The 22,217-nt window shown below is 33.4% G+C and overlaps 1 protein-coding gene across 64 annotated transcripts in view; it reads right to left on the bottom strand.

The window, feature by feature from the left end:
• The window catches only part of ADGRL2 (adhesion G protein-coupled receptor L2), a 687,801-nt gene that overhangs the window by 42,371 nt on the left and 623,213 nt on the right, over positions 1 to 22,217 (bottom strand). For 47 of the 64 annotated variants that reach the window (XM_047416152.1, XM_047416118.1, XM_047416159.1 and 44 more), the window contains 4 exons: positions 14,725 to 14,834; positions 7,793 to 8,593; positions 1,080 to 1,373; positions 441 to 544 (listed from right to left, as the gene is read on the bottom strand). In XM_047416152.1, coding sequence (XP_047272108.1) covers positions 441 to 544; positions 1,080 to 1,373; positions 7,793 to 8,593; positions 14,725 to 14,834 — 1,309 coding nt within the window. Of the gene's footprint in view, positions 1 to 440; positions 545 to 1,079; positions 1,374 to 7,792; positions 8,594 to 9,516; positions 9,532 to 14,724; positions 14,835 to 22,217 lie in introns of all 64 variants that reach the window. The other 17 variants (NR_171658.1, NM_001366003.2, NM_001366004.2 and 14 more) reach the window with 2 other exon arrangements.

Here is a 22,217-nt window from a genome sequence, read left to right as displayed (position 1 = left end):
GAAGGAGGAGAAAAAATGGCATTGCATTACACTGCAATATTAAAGTTACTAATGCCTTTTAAAGTAGTTTACTCATTCTACCATAATCATGTGTGATATAAACATCTGCTTGCATTCTGTGGATTCAGTTGTAAACTTAATGATATTTTATTTAATCGGCGAATGCATTTTGTCTTATGAACATCAAAAGAAACAGAACTAAATATGAATGAAATTAACAAGCATTACTCACTAAAAAGCTTAACATAGAGAACAGGATACCCCCAAACATATGTAACTTTCAATAAACAGTTTACAGACAAAACTATGCGTAATTTTTTTTTACTTTTATACTGAACAAAGAGCAATAAAGCTGGTTTTAACACACAAAGCTAAATTATTTATGTTAGAAGTTAATGCCCTAAATCACCAATGTGTCATATTAAAAGGTTCCAACCAACCTTCTGAGCCAGCTGATTCACCCAGTGTGAGGTACAGTTGCTAAGATCGGGGCCCTTAGGGTTCCATGTTCCAGTGGAAATCATGCAGAGATATGAGGCAGTTCCTACAACAGATGTAGAAAACAACAGTGAAATTGAAACCATTTTTCTGCATGCATTCGGGAATCAGCTATGATGATCCTGCTCTGCGTGTTAAATTTTGAATAAACTCTAATGCAAGTATTTGACAATAAGTGACAAAAAGTAGGGTATAATGCAGATTATAAATGGTAAATATGAAGTCAGCATAGAAATATCATATATTTATAGCAAACAAACAAAAACCCTTAATTTTCTTGGGATTCATCCAAAGTGATGCTTATAATGAGAAAGGCAGCTGTAAGGAAGACTCACTAGAGTCTTGGGGCAAAAATCTCAGGCTTGACCTAGGTCTCTGAAAGGGAGAGGTAATTTATAGTGCCTGATCTTAAATGACTTTTACAGTTTAAAAAACTTTGTCCATAGATGTTATATTACCAAAGTACAAAAATAAAGTTAGCTACTGTAAACATCGCTTTCTTTGAATAAAATCACTTCACTGTAATACAGAACCTACTTACTAAATTGAAAAATGTATGCATGGTAGTTTATAGAAAATACCTCTTGTTCCCTTAGGGCATGGTCGTTCAACCATCATTCCCCTTTGTGTCTGAGGCCACTTTATCCCCTTGGAGTCTAATGCTTCACAGAATCTCTCTGGCAGGGGAAAAATATTTGTTATAGGTGGAATTTTGGTTGTAGAAACTGCTGGAGGTGGTTTTGTCCCTTTGCTTCCTTCCTGTGATCCAGCTACAGTTGTGCTCATGGGGCCTTTCTGTGAAGTAGTGCTTGTGGTTGATATTATGGTTTTGAACAGCTCAGCTGAAGAAGTTATTGTCACAGCTGTGGTAGGCACTATGGAAAAAAGATGAGTATATTAATCTCAAACACACACTTGCACTCACATACAGTCATGCACACATGGAATGTGTGCATGCACACACACACACAAAACCCTACCCATCTGTCTGCCCACAAACCAAGGAAATGAGAATTACTGACAATATCGCTCGTAAGAATACATCTTTTCATCTGTTCCAATTTATTTATACTGATGGCTAAGAGAAAGTAGGTAGTTTAGGCTTTACTATAGTGTTTGCTGTATGACTCTTAAGTTTATTTCTCAATGAAATATGTGATAGTACAGTTTAAGTATAATTTCATCACATACTGTTTAACAGGAAATGTGGGACAGTTTAATTTAGAAAAATTCTATTGTATAAACTCACATTCTATAAGCAATCAAATTCAAAGCATTAACAAAACTGTGATGATTATATGTAATTAGGATGATAAAAAAATTTAAAGTCACCCACTTTACATATTGCAAGAAAATAAATACTGTGACATCTTTCCACCCAGCAGCCGTTCTTGCCTGAGCATGATCAGCATGCCTGATTAGATCCAAACAGAAGATAAGCTTGGCATGCTTGCGCTGTTTTATTAAGGAAACATCTCAGGCTTCGGCATCGTTACCTTGAAAAAGGTAGGTATGAAGAAGCAGCTAGTTCCAGTCAGAGGTGGAATCTCTTACCAAGATAAAGCATCAGATCAAATCATGCCTAATTCAAACCAACCCTTCATATCTTAGTCACCCTTAACAGAGAATTTAAAAGAACTATCGTTACACATTTAAAAGCAAAAATGTTTTCATTATTTTCAAAGGTTATTTTTGCCTTCCAATGTTACTAAACTGTTAAATCCACTAGGTTTAAGAAATAGTGGAGCTCAATGTTTCTTCCATTAATTACCACTGAATTAATTTAAACAACAACAAAAATCTGTCAGTAAAAATTTAATACTACCACTTAAAAACTGTTGGAGGAAATCACACGAAAGTTGTATCAACATTTACAGATTATTGGCTCTTAAAACCTTACATATATGATGCCTTCAATTTAAATTGTTGTAGTAGAGCAAATGAAAAATAGCTATGTTTTCAAATCATCTTAATAAAATCAACTTATTTTACACTTTATCTACACATGAGATAATAAGCTAGAATATTAGAATTTATTAGAAAACAAGTTCATATTATCACTGATATGTTTACTATTTTAAGCTCTCTGGTCCATCAATCTTTCTTTATTAATTCTGACACTACTGACAGTAAACTACGAAAAAGTAGTGTGACATGTTTCTAGTTCTTTAGTAGTTACATACTTCTTGTTACCAGTAAGTACACTATACACGTTTTATTCCTTTCCCCCCCTCTACCTCAAGAGAAACTTCTAAAGCATGTGTTTTATTTCCAGGGCATAATTTATTGACCATATGAGAGATGCCTATGTACATCAGTCAAACATCATGCCTAGCCAGCTGCTGCAGAAACCTATTCAAACCTGTCTATCTTTTCTTTAAAGCACTTGCTTGACATCTTGTTAAACCTCTGTAATTTTCTTTTGATTACAATGCAGCCAGGCTTTCAGTGCTTTCTCAATTAACATTTGTCAAAAGCATCACAATCTTTTGCAGAAGTGTCAAATGACTGCTGCTGAATCAAGTCTTAAAGGGGAGTCGGGAATCAGAACAGAAAAAAGAAGGGGGCAGAGCAAAATGCTTGAGCGCTACACTACCTGATATATCCCTTGACACTGTACTAACTAGCACATATTTAATCACTGAAATATGTATTAATACTACAATTAGTGATTTGTTAGCTAAGCATTAGTTGAGATTCATAATAACCGAGTCAAGGTAGACATTAAAAGGACCTCAATTAAATGTGCAAAATTTCATGCAACATTCTACAGCCATGTTTCCATTGTTTTTTTTTTTGATAATTTATTTTTATACCTTTTCACCTTTTTGTTTTTGTTTTTTTTTTTGAGATGGAGTCTTGCTCTGTCACCAGGCTGGAGTGCAGTGGTGTGGTCTCGGCTCACTGCAACCTCCGCCTCCTGCGTTCAAGCCATTCTCCTGCTTCAGCTTCCCGAGTAGCTGGGTCTACAGGCACCCACCACCACACCCTGCTAATTTTTGTATTTTTAGCAGAGACGGGGTTTCACCATATTGGCCAGGATGGTCTCGATCTCCTGACCTCGTGATCCGCCCTCCCTGACATCCCAAAGTGCTGGGATTACAGGCATGAGCGACTGTGCCCAGCCACTTTTTACCTTTTGATCACCAAAATAGATTAAAGGGAATCAACTTATTCTTCAAAAATAAATCAGTGAAATATTGGGATATCATGAAAATAAACATGATCATAAAGCTTAAGTGACAAAACTAAATCTTTTAGAGGTACACATAGAATTTCTGGAATTTTGGAAGGTTTAAGTTTAGCAATACCAGAAGAAAAGCAACTTTTTTTCCTCATGTGAAGGCTAGAAATGCAGATATATTTCTAAAAATTATTATTTATTTCCACAGGTGGAAATGGCCCAAATAGGGCATCTGGTAATGATAAAAGTGTACGTTGATTTAGCATTTATGTGCTAGGTGCTATGCCAATCACCATTCATGGATAATCAGATCATCTTATTTAATCCTTACCACAACTCCATGAAGTAGGTACTATAATTATCTTCCTTTTACAGATAAGGAAACTGAACGATGAAGATAAGTAATTTGTTTAAGGTCACTTTCCCATACTCTTAAATGCTATGATCTTACTTGCCTAGTTACAGATTTTCATAGACTCTAGAAAAATACGGTATCCAACAAGTAACCTTGCAGTTATCTGGGAACATTTAACTGACATGGTGTTCTGTGTAAATCTCTAAAAGAATAACAATTTGGAAAGAAAGCATAAGACTAGAATAACAAACAATGAGAAGTTCCATAATGAAACATGGCAAAAGGTTCAAAACTCAAGAATATCCTATAAATAATAATAGAAAACACAACTCACAATAGAATTATGACTCTAATCCAAACCCTTTTTTATAGAGCTCTATTTATCCGGATGCCGTATCATGCACTCATGCACTGACTTAGGATTCTACCTACCATTTATCATTTGAGTAGAAACAAAATACCTAAGAAATGATGCTAATAAACATGCTTAATAAGTACCCATGAAGATTTTAACTAACACATACAGAATGGTTCAGTTTACTCTGGTTATGTACTAAGAACTTCTATTGATTACCAGGGTTTTCCTCCATGAAAGGGTTTGAAGACAACAGACATTTATGCTAAGGGTAATATTCTCCTCACTGAGGTCCAAGAATTCACCCTCACCCACTGTTCACGAAATGAACTCTAGAGTTTCTGTAGCTTGGTAAAGCAAAAACGAGCACCTATTCAACTTGCCCCTGTTCACTGTCTAAAAACACTGATCATCTTTTATACAGCATTCTTTATCAGTGAAAAGGTATTTCCGGAAGTATGAATTCTATGCTATATATAAACAAAATGGCTCTCTTTATAAAAATTTTTTCCTGGTATTACAGAAGTGTATCACATCATTAATTAGTCTAACCCAAATGTTGAGGAACTGCCAAAAGCCAAGTAAAAACACATCATTTTCTTTATAATATTTGGGATATCACATGTGCAGACAGATTAAGTAAATATAAAGCAATCCAGATTAAGAAATGGAAAAGAGTTAAAACAGGACTGGAAAGTGTTTTTCCTAAGGCCATTCCAGAGAGGGAGAAGGTGAAACAGGAAAAACAGACCTCGTTTAGGGGAGTGGAGCAAATGAACTATGCAGGGATCACACAGAGCTCAAAACTCACCAAAAAAAAAAAAAAAAAGATTAAGGCACAAAAATAATATGCGTGTGCTTTTAGGAATGAAAAGGCTTGGATTTATAAATGGGAAAAAGTATTGAGGCTAATATATTATTAAACAGTCCACAATGAAAAATGACATAGATAATGAAAAAAAACGAATGGATAATTTTATAGCACAATTTATGCCTTGGCCATATATGTGATAGCAAATCCAGCACAGATGACCTGAACTACGAATTTCAGCAAAATAAATCAATCACTACTTTATGACAGGCAAAAGACCTCATTTCTCTGATTGCTCTGTTCTATCAGTTTCTTGGATCTTGTTTCTGGAAAGCTGACAGTGGCTTATTGGTTTGACCTAAATTTGTGGGCCAGAATAGTTCTGCAAGACCCCACCTACATGCATATAGGTAGCACACATCTTGGATCAGAGAGAAGGGAGTCTCTAAATGCATAATATAAATTACAAAGAGAGAGAGAGAGAGAGAGAATGAATATGGGTCAAACAGCAGTGAGAGAAATTTAGGTCAGATAATACTTTTCATCACTAAGGGCTGAATAAGGGGTCAATATGAATTTTCATGTTCTGGGACTATTTATAAAGAATGGCTATTTTGGATGACAAACCATAGTTGTAGGAACATACAGTTGCTACATCTGCCGAAGCTTCTCATTTTCAAGGCTGTTAACTGCTCTTTCCAAAAGCATCTAAACTATCAAAGACTTTTCATCTGAAATGGATCAAATTATTTGCTAGAATATATGACACATGTGGAGGATGACATTACTAACCATCTTTGTATTTGCTGAAGTACTTTGTGGCAAGTAGATGGGTAATGTTTTTATTTGTTGAACTGAATTATACTCAACTTTATTCACAATTCTTCAGGTTGTTGCCTGATTATGAATTTGCAATTTGTAAAACATTTTTTTTCTTTCTTTTTTTTCTGAGGATGACAAAAAATTTACTGCTACCCAAGACAAATCTAACAACTGTGAGACTAATACAGGCTACAAAAAGGTTAACATAAGGATCAATACAATTTTAGCCAATGCCAATACAAGTCTGTCAATGCCTTAAGTTTGCCTTTTGACAAACCTATAGGATAAAGAAGCACTATTGTAGTAGCAGCTTTTGGAAAAACAATTGAAATAGATGAAACAAACCAAACTGCTGCCTCATGAGCAAACATATGTATACATTTTTAAATAAATGATTCTAAGATACTATCAATAAAATTATATGCCCTAAAAGAAGATTTCATTGTTATAAATTTAACAATGAACATTACTGCTACAACTATAAGCCAAAAAATACAAACATAACCTGATTTAGGGAAAAAGGGGATGTACACTAAGTCAGTGGATCATTATTGTTATTATATGAACAAAACTCATGTATTTTGGTATTCTACAATGACTCAAATTAGAAATTCCATGACAAAGAGCTGTGACTTCTGCTTTTGAGGTCCTGACCGTATGACAATATTTAAAACTGATTAACAGCATATCTTAAAATATGTATGGGTATGTGTTTGTTATGAACATATTTAAGTGTGTGTACTTGCATTGCTTTAAGAGAAGAAAAAATATATTAGTCTCTGCCCCACCCTATTGAGGATATTAATTTAATCACTCCAAAGAACTTTCTAGTTCCTAAAATTTTGAAATAATGCAATAATTTCAAGATTAACTCAGTAAATTAGGATATTCAGATCTTAAACAAACACTGTTCAAATAGAAGACTTATAAACAGTGCAAGCTCTATAATAATACATTAACAAATTATTCTTTCATCATGAGTATGAGATAATCTTGTTTTAATGAAGTATTCGTTTATCATCAAAAATTATTTCCCACAAAACTGAACTCACTTAATAAACCAAAGTATATTTCCAAAAATTTAGCATTACTTTCTAAAGTAATGATCCTCCATAAAGAGAATACAAATCACACAATGCTTGCATATCTGTCATCACAAGTCATCACTTGGGATCATTTAAAGTTTGGTTCATGTGATCGTTAAAGTCACAGAAATATTGACTTCAAACTGTCACTAATTTATCAGAAAATAAAAACATGTAATTTTACATGATAATCTAGAAAAATATTGGATGGCTCCCTCTCCTACTGAGAGAACAGACACCAAAACTTTAGAACGCATATATCTGGCATTGTACATCAAGCCTAGCCATTCTCCTGGGACTTCCTAACACACGTTTCCTTTAACCACTGGCGCCAAGAAGTTAAAAGGTCTGAACATAGATTGTAATCAATTCAGCAGTCAAGTAGGGGAAAACAACCAAACAAAAAAACACTGCTAACAGGTTTCTGGTTAGTATTATATTTTTAGCAATGAAAAAAGTTTAAGCTGACTAATAATGCCACAATTTCTTGAAGCCAACATTAAAATGAAGAAATTGAGAAAAAGAAAACGAACCATAATAAGGCTAAAATGTACCACAACATTGTCCTTTGTCCTTTAACTATGAAAAGGGGAAGAAAATAGGAAAAAAAAATTAAGAAGTCTTTAAAAAGAAAAATGCTTTTCACAAAATGACATAAGCATTAGCAAGTAAACACGCTTACCTTGGGCAGGATCAGGTGGACCAAACTCCAGAGAATATCGTAAAATGAAGTTATTGTTCCACACGTAAAGTTGGTTATCTCTTGGATTGTAATCCACTGCAGCAATATACTGATACTGGTTGGGGAAGGGAACATCTACATATTCTCCTCGGTTTAATCGGGTATTATAAATGTAATCAATTGAGTTCTTGCCTGTTTCACTTTCATTGTCTTGATAAACTGACCTAACCACATAGAGGACTCCGCATATCATAAAAGCATTTGATGCGGCACGTTTGTCGTATACAGTCTCCCACGTTGCTTCAAATCGAAGAGTGTATGGATTCAGCTGGCTAATAACTATCATTCCATTGTTCTGTTCAGTGGCGTAAATGACCCATAAACCATTTTCATCAACTGCTAGGTCGATATCAGTCTTTCCTCCCCATCTGTATGGTGAGGTATCATGGTAGTTGGCATAGTTAATTATGGCCTCGCCACTCTTAATTCTAGTCCTCAAGTCAAATTTCACAATATTCCTCGTTCTTTCTTTGTTAAAGAAGACAGCACCATCATACACCACAAATCCAGTACCATCTACTCGATTTGGAAGTTTATATGTTGTTGTTTGGCGACTATTTTGGAAATCTTCTAAAGAAGCATATTCTATTAAAGTATCGGTACGATAGGGAGTCCAGGGCATGAAATAAATTTTATCTGCAGCCTGAAGAGGGTCCTTGCACCAAGCACCCGCCTTTTGTTCAGCTTCATATATACATGGTGAGTCCACAATTGCTTTCAAGGTCCCAGGACACACAAAAACTAACAGTTACAGAGAAAGACAAAAATTAAGCCAAGTTAAAAAATTACACAGGCAAACAAGTTTCAGTGATCACAAATCAAAAGGGAAAAATTCATATTATTAGCATTCAATTTTACCAAAATGTATACTTCATACAAATACTACCCTTCTTTTCTAAAGTTAGCATAATCAGTGTATCAGGGTACAAAGTAACTGAAGTTTATGTTTATTTTCACTAACAAAAGCCTAAGTTTAAGATCATTTATAAGTGGTCTGACAATTTAAATTTTTGCTATGTTTTCATCTTATAATCTGTTAACCCATGTTTTAAAAGTTTGAGCTTTTGCACAACAGTATATATTTCATTTTATTACAAACATTATACCTTTCAACCCCCTACTTCACCTATGAGCCCCTAAAAGCAAAACCATGAAATAAGGCAAATAAAACAGAAAACCGAATGTGAAGACTTATTTAGAACTTTTACATAAGTTAGACTGAAAACAAAGGTGCTTCAATTTGAGGAACATAAGTATTTGGAAAATGCAATTAGGAGCACAGAAAAGTAAATGCAAGAAAAGCAGTGATGAAACAATCAGGAGACCCTGTAACCATGGCATGCTATGGAGAGGGTTCTGGAAGCCAGGCAAGATGACACTTTAATTATAAGAAAATATCCAAGGGTGTCAGAAAAAGAGATAAAGGGTAAAAAAGAAACAGAGAAAGGGCAGATCCCCCTCGCCGACTTCAGAATTTTTACCCCATCACCAGGTTTAGCAGTCATACAATTTCATTGTAAACAGTTGACTTCCTTATGAGGTGGCATTTATGAGATCCTGCTGATTATTTTAATACAGGAGTGTTGTGGGGAGAGGGGAGGGAGGAGGTTAACATCCATAAGGCACATAACAGGGAGCTGGGGTTCAGACTGTATGTTATTTACCTTTTTGCTCCACTTCTATTTTAAGCATCAGGAAGAAAAATAAAAAAGGTGCAAGGAAAAAAGAAAAAAGATTAAAATAAATTGACTATTAGTCTAAGACTGAATTCGTAACAGATGCTAAATATAGGAAGAATTAAGAGCTGTACTACTTTGGATAAAGAGAAACACACAACAGGAAAACCTAGCAGGAGAAAGATTCTAAAGTTACATAAAAGAACATGGATCAATCATTTTAGGAGATTAAGGAGGCAATACAAATATGTTGGCATGTTGCTTCACTTAGTGTACCTGAATAAATAATGAAACTCTTCACTAATGCATGGTATACATACTCTTGCCTTTCCAAAGTCACTCAGCATTCTTACCAAGTTTTACTTCCTATATGTATGCTATAGACATAAATGCATGCATAGGTATATCATCCCCATTTATCTTATGTGAACTCAATTATTAAACTAACTTTAGATAAGCATAACAATAGAAAAATACATTTATAAAAATCACAACTTAATTTTGGAGTTTAGATCAAATTTAATTCTGATGTGGTTACATGTTTTTCATAGATATTTACTAAGAAGAAATATATAATTATGCATCCCAGTATGTTTCAATTGTTTTTCTATTATTTTCTATTCCTAGATAAATTAATTTTAACCATTAAAAAAGCCTCCTCTTTAGGAATATATCAATATCCCCCCATCACCAGTAGTGATTTTGAAGAGTAGGGTAAGGTAGTACCTTTCTCCCCCACTAAGAATTAGTATATTTACTTAGTTAGGTTTACATATACATTTTATTATAAAATTCTTATTAAATTTTCTATATTATATATCTCAAACTTGTAATACTAAGTCTATAAAAAAAGTAAGCAAAATACATACAAGGGAAAAGCAAGCACAGTAGGCAAGGAGAAAAAGGAAGAAAGAATTATGGTTAGATTATTATGACAATTCTACCATCATCAATTTACATAGAAAGCAAGCTAGCATGCAACAACAATCATACCGAGCATTCAGAGCAAATACCTTGACTCCACAGACCTTATAAAAAGTAAATGCTTTCATAAAACAAACCTGATTAGTAGAGTTACATGAGGAAAAAAAAAAAAACAACTCCTACAGTTTCAAGAAACAGATTATGAAGTTAGGAAGGGGGCTATGTAAGATCCTTGTTGGTAAACCGTATTCTAATACTTACAAACCATAAAATACTACTTTACATTGTATATAGGCTTGAAGTATGTTGCCTAAATTTCATAAAATGACAAGACTGATGTCTGTTTCTCCCTTTTCTGTTGTTAAAATGCATCAGGGTTGCTAATACTGCATTTCCAAAATGTACTCAGACAGAGTAGTGCACATTTTATTAAGATCTTAGTTTGATTAATTTTTAAAAGTTACAATAATTCATCAAGATTAAATGTTGGCCTTCTGAAACACTTATGGGAAAAAACATCACACGAACATTTTTGCCATAGGAATGGCATACAACTTTCCACATTAAGCTACAACTTTCCCCAATCAACTTGGTCTATGTAACCACTTTCAGGAAACATACTTGCTCTATAATGTGTTATTCTGACTACATCTGAAAAACAAGAAATTCAACATTACTGTCTTGAAAACAATACTTTTGTATAAACCACTAGTCCTAAAATTACTCCTCAGCGAAGAGCAATATTATACCTGCTTAGAATCAATAACGGAAGGGCGTAGTGAGAAAATCAGGATAAGAGAAATCATTAGCGTTGTGACTACTCAAACTACAATTTATATACAGCTGTATGCTTTTTTCCCCTAAGGAAAGGATAATTTTACTGAAATAAATTAAATGTAAAGGATGGAAATAATACATTTTAAAATGTTTATTTAAAAAAGAACTTAAAACAAGTTCAATAGAAGATGTAGAAAGTGTATTTTGCTTTCCATTCATTGAAAATGGCTGAATTTTGTTATTTGATAAACTAAAATTACAATGTAGTTAGGGAATAGAATATCAAAGTCTTTATTTACTTGAGATTTAATTGATATCACATATTGAAGGAAAATAAGTATAAATTATATATTGTATATATTTTATAATTCTGTTGAAAAGTAAGTAACACTCAAAAGTAAAGATTTAAAATATTATAAACCTTTGATGATTAATGAATCACATAAGGAAAACATTGCTCTTTACAACAAAAAAGTCCCTACGTTATTATATTTATGAAAATCAAAAGGACAGACATCTGTGAAACCAGCCAAAATTCTATCAGTAGAAGAGTACAAAAATACAATAAAATTAATATAATCAGTATTCTCTATCACATGCCAAATATATACTACAACTTGTCTTAAGAGCCGTATGAATTAACAATACATTTACTTTTCTTTAGACCAAACATACAAGTATATGACCCACGAACATCAGTGGAGGACTACATGGATATGCAAGACAAGAAATTAACCCAAACTAACTACACAGCCTACATACTCTGTATGTGAAGTGACACACTATTTCATTGAATAAACATGTTTATTCATTAATAATGATTTAATCAATAATGGCTATTTTTCATACTAAATAAAATTTGTGGCTAATATTATAGTAGTTTTACAATGATACTTTGAAATATAAGGTACAAAAATCAAAACCAAATCCTGCTTGCAGGATGCAAAATTCCAATCTGATTACTCTGCTTTATCCTCCAAGATCTTTATGACTTCTTTCAAATATAAATATATGCAATTCCTAACAGTCTGGCAATGACAATGGATACCCTGTATATGTACACTTTTGACATGGATATTAACTGGGAAAGTACAAGCATCACATATAATGCATGCGCCTGTTTATAAACATACTAAAGTAAACAAAGTAACAGCATTTCTAATGTTCTCTGTTGAGCAAATTTCTTTTAAAATTTTCAGAAGTCTTGAAAACCTTCTTAAATTGCTTTATAATAGGACTTAATTGGAATATATAAGATCCTGGAGGATTTACTGGGGATAGAAATTGGTATAAAGCCAAGTGGTAAAAAACACATAATAAATGTTATCTGATGGTGACAATTTTATCAACTAAGTAACGTGTAAAAGAGGTATGCAAATGTTACAAAACATAAAAACACTACTAAATCAAGGAGAAAGTGAAAGCTAAAGGCTTAAACTAAAAGAAAGTATAAGGAATGAATACAATGGACAGAGGTAGAAAGAAACAAAAGGTGAGGAAAATGGGAAAAAGAGATAAGACACTGTCCTACATAGGATTAGAATAATCTAAGAAGGCTCTTTGCATTGTATTTTAATATTAGTTGAAACCGTGCAATTTATAGAGTGTCACTACTGTAGAGTATATAGGAATTATAATTACTTTTATTCTTTAGCAAAGAGTGATTAAAAAAAACCCATAGACTTATTTCTGCCTCGTGCAAATGTCTAGAAAGGTAACAGCAAATTAATTACTGATTTTTTTAAATTAAAAGACAAAAACTAAAAGGAACAAATACTTCTCTGAGTATAGCTATTTGCAAGTTTAGTGCACAACGTACAATACTTCTGGGGAACTGAAAAAGTAAAATTTTGCAAGTTAGATGTTCCAGAAGATATCCACATTTTCCTTTCTTAAACAGCACAAGAAATAGCTTATGAGTCTGAAAATAATATTTGCTTAACACTGTTCTTGGTCTATAGACTAGGTTACAGGAACTGGCTCCAGAAAGATAATTCTTGGCAGCTCTGACTGATTCCACTGTTTGGGAATGGATGCTGTATTTCTTCTCTAATTTGAAGACAGAAACCATGCTAAATTCAAGTGAAAGTGACTTTATGGAACAAAATTTTGGTTAGGTCAAAAGAATACAATGTTCCTCTAGTGGCACAGGAGAATGATTACGTAAGCCACCAACACTACACAGGAGAAATGATATAAAGATCAGTGTACTCAGTAGGCTTCCAATCCTACAAATGGTACAGAAAATACTGAAAACATAAAAAGCATCCATTTCACAGTAACACATGAACACAGAGCAGGGATGAAAAGATAATCTGTGTTTGGCCTTTAACTGATAACACAAAAAGCCAATTTGTCAAAACTGTGTCAGAGAAAAGATGGAGAGTGCCTTCACAGCATGTGTCAGAATGTATTACTACCATATCGGACACAGCAGATCTATCAGAATTTGGCCCTTTGGTTTTAGAAATATTGATAGTTTGAACATATAAATCTGTCAGAACTAATGACCTAGCTTTTGAGGTTCTGGAAAGAGCAGTTTCATTATTTGGCAAATCCTTTTTTTTTAAAGGAGGAAAGTGTACAAAAACTGTCTCAAATCAGCAAAATTGCTGATAAAAAACATATAATTCAAACGCCCATGAACTAACATGACTAAATGACATCTCTATCTTTTCTATAATTTAAAAAGCAAAGAAGACAACAATACTATCAAACTAGCTTGTGAAAATCAGGTAATATTCAAACTTTTAAGTTGTCTAAAATGCTAAGATTTTTAAAACTGAAAGTATAGAATACAATTTTGAAGTACGAATTCTGAGATTAGAAGGAAAACTATACAAAATTTGACTACTGGCCGAAGCCTACCTATAAACTTTTCAATTGAATTTTAAATATCCATCTGTAGGATCTTAAAAATGATGCTGCAAAATTAAAAACAGAACCATGTGCAAGGTTATATTATATCTATTTTATTTAGCATTAAGGTTTCATCACTGAATCCCATAAAGAAATGCTCCCTTAAAGACAATAGAACAAAAAGTAAAGCACTTGCCTCAGTTACTGCAATGGTAGCTTTTACCCAGCACTAAACTTACTACAACAGCAGGTAGCCATTCAAGTAGCTCACGATTAAAACTGAAGTCAATTCCTTCTTTAGAAAACTGTGAGCCAAACCAATTTGTCAGCAACTGGTATTGGGCAAAAGTACAGATTTCTATCAGCCGTATTGAATAGCTAATTCAAGTTTGTTTTCTGGAAAAACACTAGCCTTAAAAGCCAAACACTTAAGAACACAGACAGACACTTGGCCAGCATCACACTATGGCTTCCTTCCACACTTCATGAAGTTAATTGGAGGCCCAAGTCTGTTAGTGCTCTGCATACATAATGGTTTTGTAGGCCATAAACATATGCTTCTTTCACATGTGTAGTCTTTCAGCATCAACAAGTAATGCTGGGCAAAGTGTAAAAAAATATAAACTGCATACTTACTGTAAGGGACACATTCATATTGGACTTCAAGGTATTTGTATGTTCCAGGACATGGATCAGGAAACACATCTGACCCAGTAACTACTATACACTGTGTTCGATTGTTGCACCTGAAAAACAAAATGTATCAAACTTGTGTAACATAATTTATTTGATTATTTTCACTTAAATATAACATAGAAGTTTTTCTCATTTTCTTTAAGCAACCAGAAACATAAAACAAAAATTCAAGTGATGTTAAGTTACTCTACATTATTAAATATTTTATAAGAGTTTTGTTTTCTTTATGTTGTAATACAGTGGTATCATGGGTCACACTAAATTTTAACTAGAAGTAAAAAAATAATGGCCAACAGTTTCCTATCATTGTTATACATTTTAATTTTTGATATATTCAACATGAACTGAACGACAACAAGATCAACAACAAATATCTTACTAGGATATTAAGATATTTGGATATATCTTACTAGGATATTAAGAATTAAGATTACAATTTTTAAAAATGGTCCTATAACTAAACAGAAACGTAAGAGTCAAAACCTGAATTTCTCAGCAGGAAGTTTTTGACAACACAAAACAAGGAGCCAGGATTTTAATTTTATCCTCTAAATCCAGTTGGGTGTGAATTTCTTCATTGTACATACTTTCTGGAATACCAGAAACTAAGCTAGTAGAGCTCACCTTATATGCTATGGTCCACATAAATGATAAAGTGCATTTAAAGGATTTAGAAAAATGCTTTGGCACATATGTAATGTCTAAGCATTATTGTTACTCTTTCTATTCATAGATCAATGTGCCTATATAATTAATGAGATGACTATGTACCTCGGTTCAACACCAGTACTCCCTAAAATATAACATTAAAAAGAATGTTGTACTAACATGATGCCTAGAATGTTCTAATTATTGTTATAAGGAATTATTTTCTTGTTTTTGCAATGTCAGTAATTCACCAAGAATATTAGAAATAGGTTAGAATTCCAGATAAAATGATATGTACATTCTATGAATTTGTCCAAAAGGTCTTTTCATAACTTTTGTAAAGGCAAGAACTATTTCTTTTATAATTTGATTTGATTATAACCTAATGAATGGAATGTTTTCAGGGTTTTTATTGTATTTTCTGATAGCACATACATTAAGAAGGCAAATCAAGCAGAACAAGAACATTATAACATTTATGTAACAGTTGGAATACCACATATTCGATAGTACATAAAATACTGAAGTATAAAATAGCACTATAAAGAATTTTGAAAAGCATCCCAGTTTCTAGCACCACTAACTAAAGGGCAGTAGAAGGTGAATCATGTTAAAGATGGGTAGGAACAGTCGTATACTTTGGTGCCATTTCAACTCAAAACTAGACTTTCTCTTTGAAGAGCAGCAAAGCCTGAAAACTACAGGATTAAATAGGTAAATTTTATAATTCAAAGTATACTACAATGAACTTCAAACAAGACCTAAATAAAGTATAAGTAACTTTTATCATGATTATAATAGAGTATAGCAGTGTTTTTTTAGAAATATACCATATACTGTAATTTTCAAGAACGTAAATAATGTAAATGGTATAGTGTCACAATCTTCTGTAACATATGTTTTCCTGTCATTATTCTGTATTTCTCTTAATTTGGTTCACTCATCTGAAGAAATTTACCAGTGGTTCACCACTTAGTGTAAACGAATTATTTTAACATGAATCACAGAACCTATTTCACATCCTAAAATTCAAGACAAGAGGTAGGTTTACAGTTTCTCAATAGGTCAATAACTAATGTTCCCAACTAATAAATATAATTCTGATGTTTCATTTTTCTTCTTTTTTAAACTTTTGCAGCAACAAGACAGTTCACTGATTTTTTAGTTTCTTGATCTGCCAGAAATCCTCAAATCACTAACTTGGTCCCATTAAAAACAAAAGTCCTTTCATTTCCTTCTTTGTATTTATTCATACCTACAGTGATCTTCCTTTTATCACACCCTTACACCTCTCAGAAATGAAGAAAGATAAACAACTGTGTGTTAGATATCCCTTTCAGATACTCCCACAGTATACATTTTATAACTACTCAACCAAACTGTTAGGTTTTGAATGGTATTTAAATATGATTACAAAAACTCCTCCAAATAACAATTTCTAGTGTGAGTAAACTCTTCATTTAGTTTATCAACCTTCCCTTCTCACAAAAGGCTCCTCTCATATCAACAAACTAGCAACTGGTGGGAGAGAGAGGGAATTGTACTCAAAGTTGAAATGGACCAAGAACATGAACATGAAAGACTTTGCTATTAAGGTGAAGGAGAAAGTAACTCAAAGGATTTGGCCATTTATATATATATATAATTTTTCAAAAATAAAGAATACATTGAAAATTGCCCAGATTTTTTCCACCAGAAGTAATTGGATGAATGAATATAACTAGTACAGGCTTAGAGATCTTTTACTGTATGTTTCTCAATGTCATGGTATGTTCTGCAGGAAGTATATAAGCATTCTGGTTTCCATTACATTTTGTTTGAAAGAGGACCAACACCATAATAAAAAATAACTGTCCATATTTACTCTTTCTGAACAACTTTGCAGTAGTCCTCTGACCAATTACAGGTTCAAATTAATGTCAAAGCAATTATGATTACTTATACCAACCACATAATTTTTATTGATTTAAATAATCACATTACACAAAGCATCCACTTTAAGACAGCAAAACGTATTAATTCTACAACTATAATCTTAAGCAAAACTGATTTAATGAAGCTCCTGCAATAAAATTATAAAAAATTCTAGAATTCAGGGCCTCCCAAAATATAAAAAATATTCATTTTAAATTTGAAAATTTCATATGTTTATATACACAGAGATATCAGAAGTGCAAGAAATTAATCTTGAGAAAAATGGCAAATTTAGAGCTAAAACAGTTAAGGGTCAGAAAGGAGAGAAATCCAACTGTAAAAAGTACAAGAAAATTAGAACTTTGCATGCCAGTATCTTGATTCATGGAAATGAATCTAAGCTTTTAGAGGCCCAAATTACAGAAATAGAAATACAGACATTTATATTCCTTTATAAAGGGTGCAAGCAGCATTAAGTTTCCAAATAGAGAGTGAGGAGACAAGAAAGACATTGGGAAACACCCAACGTGAGCTATTAATACTAAGAAAAATCTGAAAATTCCTTAACAATATGCTGTTGATAAGATTATAAAAGTGTAAATTGCTATCATTTAAAAAGATCCAGAAAGAAAGCAATTACTTATCCACAGAAGCAAAGTAAATTCCCGCCAAGGGCTCAGCTTCAAGTTCTCATACTAATGAAAGCGAAAAGGTAGAGTTAAGCCAAGAAAGAAAAAGTGTTTAGTCGTTTGTATTTTCAGTACTGGGCACAGTTCCTGGCATGACTTTCTCTCCCTTCCTCTACAGAAGAAGATTTCTTTACCAATAAAGGTATCATTGTTTTAACAATCAAACTATCAGTATATTTTGGTAATACCATGTGGGTTTATTACGTTAATAACCTACAATTTTCTTACACATTAAGCATAAAAAATCGGTATGAATGAGAACAAGGCAAAAGAGAAAAAATAGGGTTTTAATGAGTAGACATTTTACTACAATTTGAAGGAACTACAATTACGGTTCATCATAAAGAAGCAGATACTAGAATATATTTTGAACACTTCAACTTTCAAATAACTGGTCTTATTTCATTTTATATTTATAAAGATGAACAGATGACTTAAGATAGTGAAAGCAGTAGTTTCCAAAATGTGGTCCTCATACCAACAGCACCACTATCAGCTGAAAACTTGTTAGAAATACAAATTATTGGCCAGGCACGGTGGCTCACACCTGTAATCCCAGCACTTTGGGAGGCCGAGGTGGGTGGATCACCTGAGGTCGGGATTTGGAGACCAGCCTGACCAACATGGAGAAACCCCGTCTCTACTAAAAATACAAAAATTAGCCACGCAGGCATGCATGGTGGCGCATGCCTGCAATCCCAGCTACTCGGGAGGCAGAGGCAGGAGAATCGCTTGAACCTGCGAGGCAGAGGTTGCAGTGAGCTGAGATTGCACCATTGCACTCCAGCCTGGGCAACAAGAGTGAAACTCCGTCAAAAAAAAAGAAAGAAAAGAAATACAAATTATTAAGCTGCACCAAAAATTGGCAGGTTCAGAAACTCTGGAAGTGGAAACCCAGCCATCTCAGATTTAACAAGTGTTGCAGGTGACTCTGATCAGTGCAACTTGTGTGAGAGCCACAGGGTTAAAACGAGATAGGTTTAGATACTTTACTAAAGAATAAATATGAATGGCAAAACATGATTTTGCTCTATAAAACTTAGTAAAACAAGTGAAACAGAAAACAAGTGATGAGTACAACTTATGTAAGAGGTACATAATACAGTTTACAATGTTAATATGTCTTCTTGCTAATTCTAAGTGTAGAAATCAAGAGTTTTAGTTGCTCTAATTTTGAGCAAGCTGTCTAGTTATTCATCAATTCTTAACATGGAGAATTGAAATAAGTATATTATCTGAGTACATGTATACATCACATATGAACCAATTTTTTAACAGATAAGAAGTATAATGTTTTGCTAAAAATGTGCTAACGAAACACTAAAATTGGAAATAAAACTTTTGAGAATATGTAAAAATATACTATGTTCTACAGAAGTATGTCATTAAAAATAACAGAAAAATATGACCCATTGTAATCACTGCCAATTTTCCTATATTCAATCTTTGACTTACTTATTCAAATAAATGTTAATAAAGTGGCTCAACTCTAGGAAGGCAATAAATACAGAAATTGCTTTCTTTCTGTTTTTAGAGAGAACTCAGAGGCATAAGTAGGCCTTGCGAATAATGTCTAAACAATTTCGGGGTCAGGCGCTATTGCTCACGCTTATAATCCCAGCATTTTGGGAGGCAGAAGCAAAGGGAGGAGGATCTCTTGAGCCCAGGAGTTCAAGACCAGCTTGGGTAACATGGCAAAACCCCATCTCTACAAAAAGTTTAAAAAAATTAGCCAGGTGTGGTGGTATGTGCCTGTAGTTCCAGCTACTTGGGGGAGACTGAGGTGGGAGGATGGCACCACTGAAGCACAGGCCAGGGAACATAATGAAACCCTGTCTCAAAAACAAAAACAAGGAACAAAAACCATTTCCAGGGTATAATTCATGATTAAATACTAAGTAGAAAATAAACATAAAACTACATAAGCACTCAGTCCCAAATTCTAAACATATAATCATTTTTAGTATTTTTCTAGTCACATTTCCAAAATTTTCAAATTTGGCATACAAAGACAAAGATTTAATCATTATTTCACATCACTGGGTTAAAAACGCACGAAGTATCACCTATATATAATTTCTGGTTGCAACTTTCTGACTACAATTTTAAAGACCTTTCTTACTATTCTAAAGTATATAGAGTACAACACTCAACCTGAGAATTCCAAATATAACTAAAATAAACCCAATAATAAAACCTTTTAATATTAAGTTCAAATACCGGAATAAAAGTATTATTTCTGACATTAAAATTCGTAAAACATTAATAAAATCCATCAACCACAACAAAGAAAATCCAAAAGTCTTGCTTTATAGGTCATAAACTAGTTTAAATGGGACAAAACACTGAATTTTGTTTATTTGTTTTTTGGTTTTTTTGAGACAAAGCCTCGCTCTGTTGCCCAGGCTAGAGTGCAGTGGCACGATCTTGGCTCACTGCAACCTTGGCCTCCCGGGGTCAAGCAATTCTCCTGCCTCAGCCTCCTGAGTAGCTGGGACTACAGGAATGTGCCACGCCGCCTGGCTAATTTTTATTTTTTTATTTTTATTTTTTTTCCAGTAGAGACGAGGTCTCATCATGTTGGGCAGGCTGGTTTCAAACTCCTGACCTCAGGTGATCCACCCGCCTTGGCCTCCCAAAGTGCAGGGATTACAGGCATGAGCCACCGTGTCTGGCCCAAAACACTGAATTTTACTCATGGTTTAAAAACTCATCCCTGTAGTCTTTCTACCCTACAGGTGTGGGGGTGAGGGTTTCAATGGTTCAATTCTGGAATGAAGCCAAATATGCATCTGTAAAAGCTGAAGTGTAACAAATAATTTTGAAGATTAATAGTTTATTAATTTACTTCCTACCAATATATTTGCTGATTACAAAAATTAGAGTAAGTATTTAAAGTTGGTGATATTGCCCAGGCTTGTGCACAACATATATTTCAAAAAAGATTTTAAGAAATAGCTAATGCATCACTTAACCATCCCAATTTGCAAATGGCAAGAAGGTGAAAGTATTACAAACAGTATATTTTATCTTCCAGATGTAATCAATGTTCTCAGGTCTCAATATTAACTTTTAAGGCATCCACAGTATTTTTTGAAATTAAGATAAATGTTCTCAAAAAAATGTGTAAAGCATAAAAAGGCATTTTATAAAAGTGTATTATCATTAATTTACATACTAGTATATGGAAATTACTTAAAAATATCATGCACAGATTAACAGCAGTATTTTCAAGAAAGATTATCTTTTTATTTTTGAGACATAGTGCCTCATTACTAATGAAATATTAATGAAAACAAACTATTAATATGTTCCCTTTCCTTAATCTTTTAAAACTCTATGTGAAAGAGAGCACAATGCACACATTACTTATACTCTCAGAATAAATTGTATCGAAAAATAATATAGCATACTGTTTATCTCTGTTCAAAAGCAAAATCATTTGATAATTGGGAAGATTAGTGTTTAAAAGCAGAAGCTGTAGAATCAGAAAAAAATTGGTGTGTAAGTTCCAGGTCAGCTGCTTACTTAATTGTGAGTCCATAAGCAATGTATTAAACCTTTCAACCTTAGCATTATCATCTGTAAAACGTAGTATCTTCTTTAGAAGTTTGTTAAGGTTAAATGGGATAGTGCAGGCAACTCTCTGCACAATACCTGGATAACAAACATCAAGAAATATAAATTACCACCACCGCCACCAAAAATACCAATAATAACAATGTCCCCTATGTAAGATGAACAGATTTGCAAATCTTAAAGAAGCAGAACATCTTTTACTCTTCCACAGTAGTCCCTGCACTGTGCGTACTCTTTACTGTGTACAGCTTTAAAAACAGGCTCAACTATTCATGCAAATTTGTTTCCATTCCAACTCTAATCTTGAATTGTACAATGCCCAACAAATTGCTTTTACTCTTCTTTTGATTATCTTATGCTCATTATTACACTTTACCAAGTGCAAAGTATGGAGACGAGATTCCATGTGTAATCTATTGTGAGAGGTGTTTTAATCAATAGTCTTGTTCTGCTGATTAAGCAGGGGCTTCTGTTTTGGCAAGATAACATTAGTTTCTCCAGTCATGCTCCAAAAACCATTGGGAATCTTCAGCAGATCATTAGATATGCTACAATAAAGCTTTGGTGCATTTTCTTTTCTTCCTTAAATTACTTCTTCACTGT

This window comes from Homo sapiens, chromosome 1 (assembly GCF_000001405.40).
Source record: "Homo sapiens chromosome 1, GRCh38.p14 Primary Assembly".
In the NCBI taxonomy this organism is placed as follows: Eukaryota; Metazoa; Chordata; class Mammalia; order Primates; family Hominidae; genus Homo; species Homo sapiens.
Note: the sequence above shows the minus strand (reverse complement) of the source record. Positions and strands in the feature narration are given on the sequence as shown.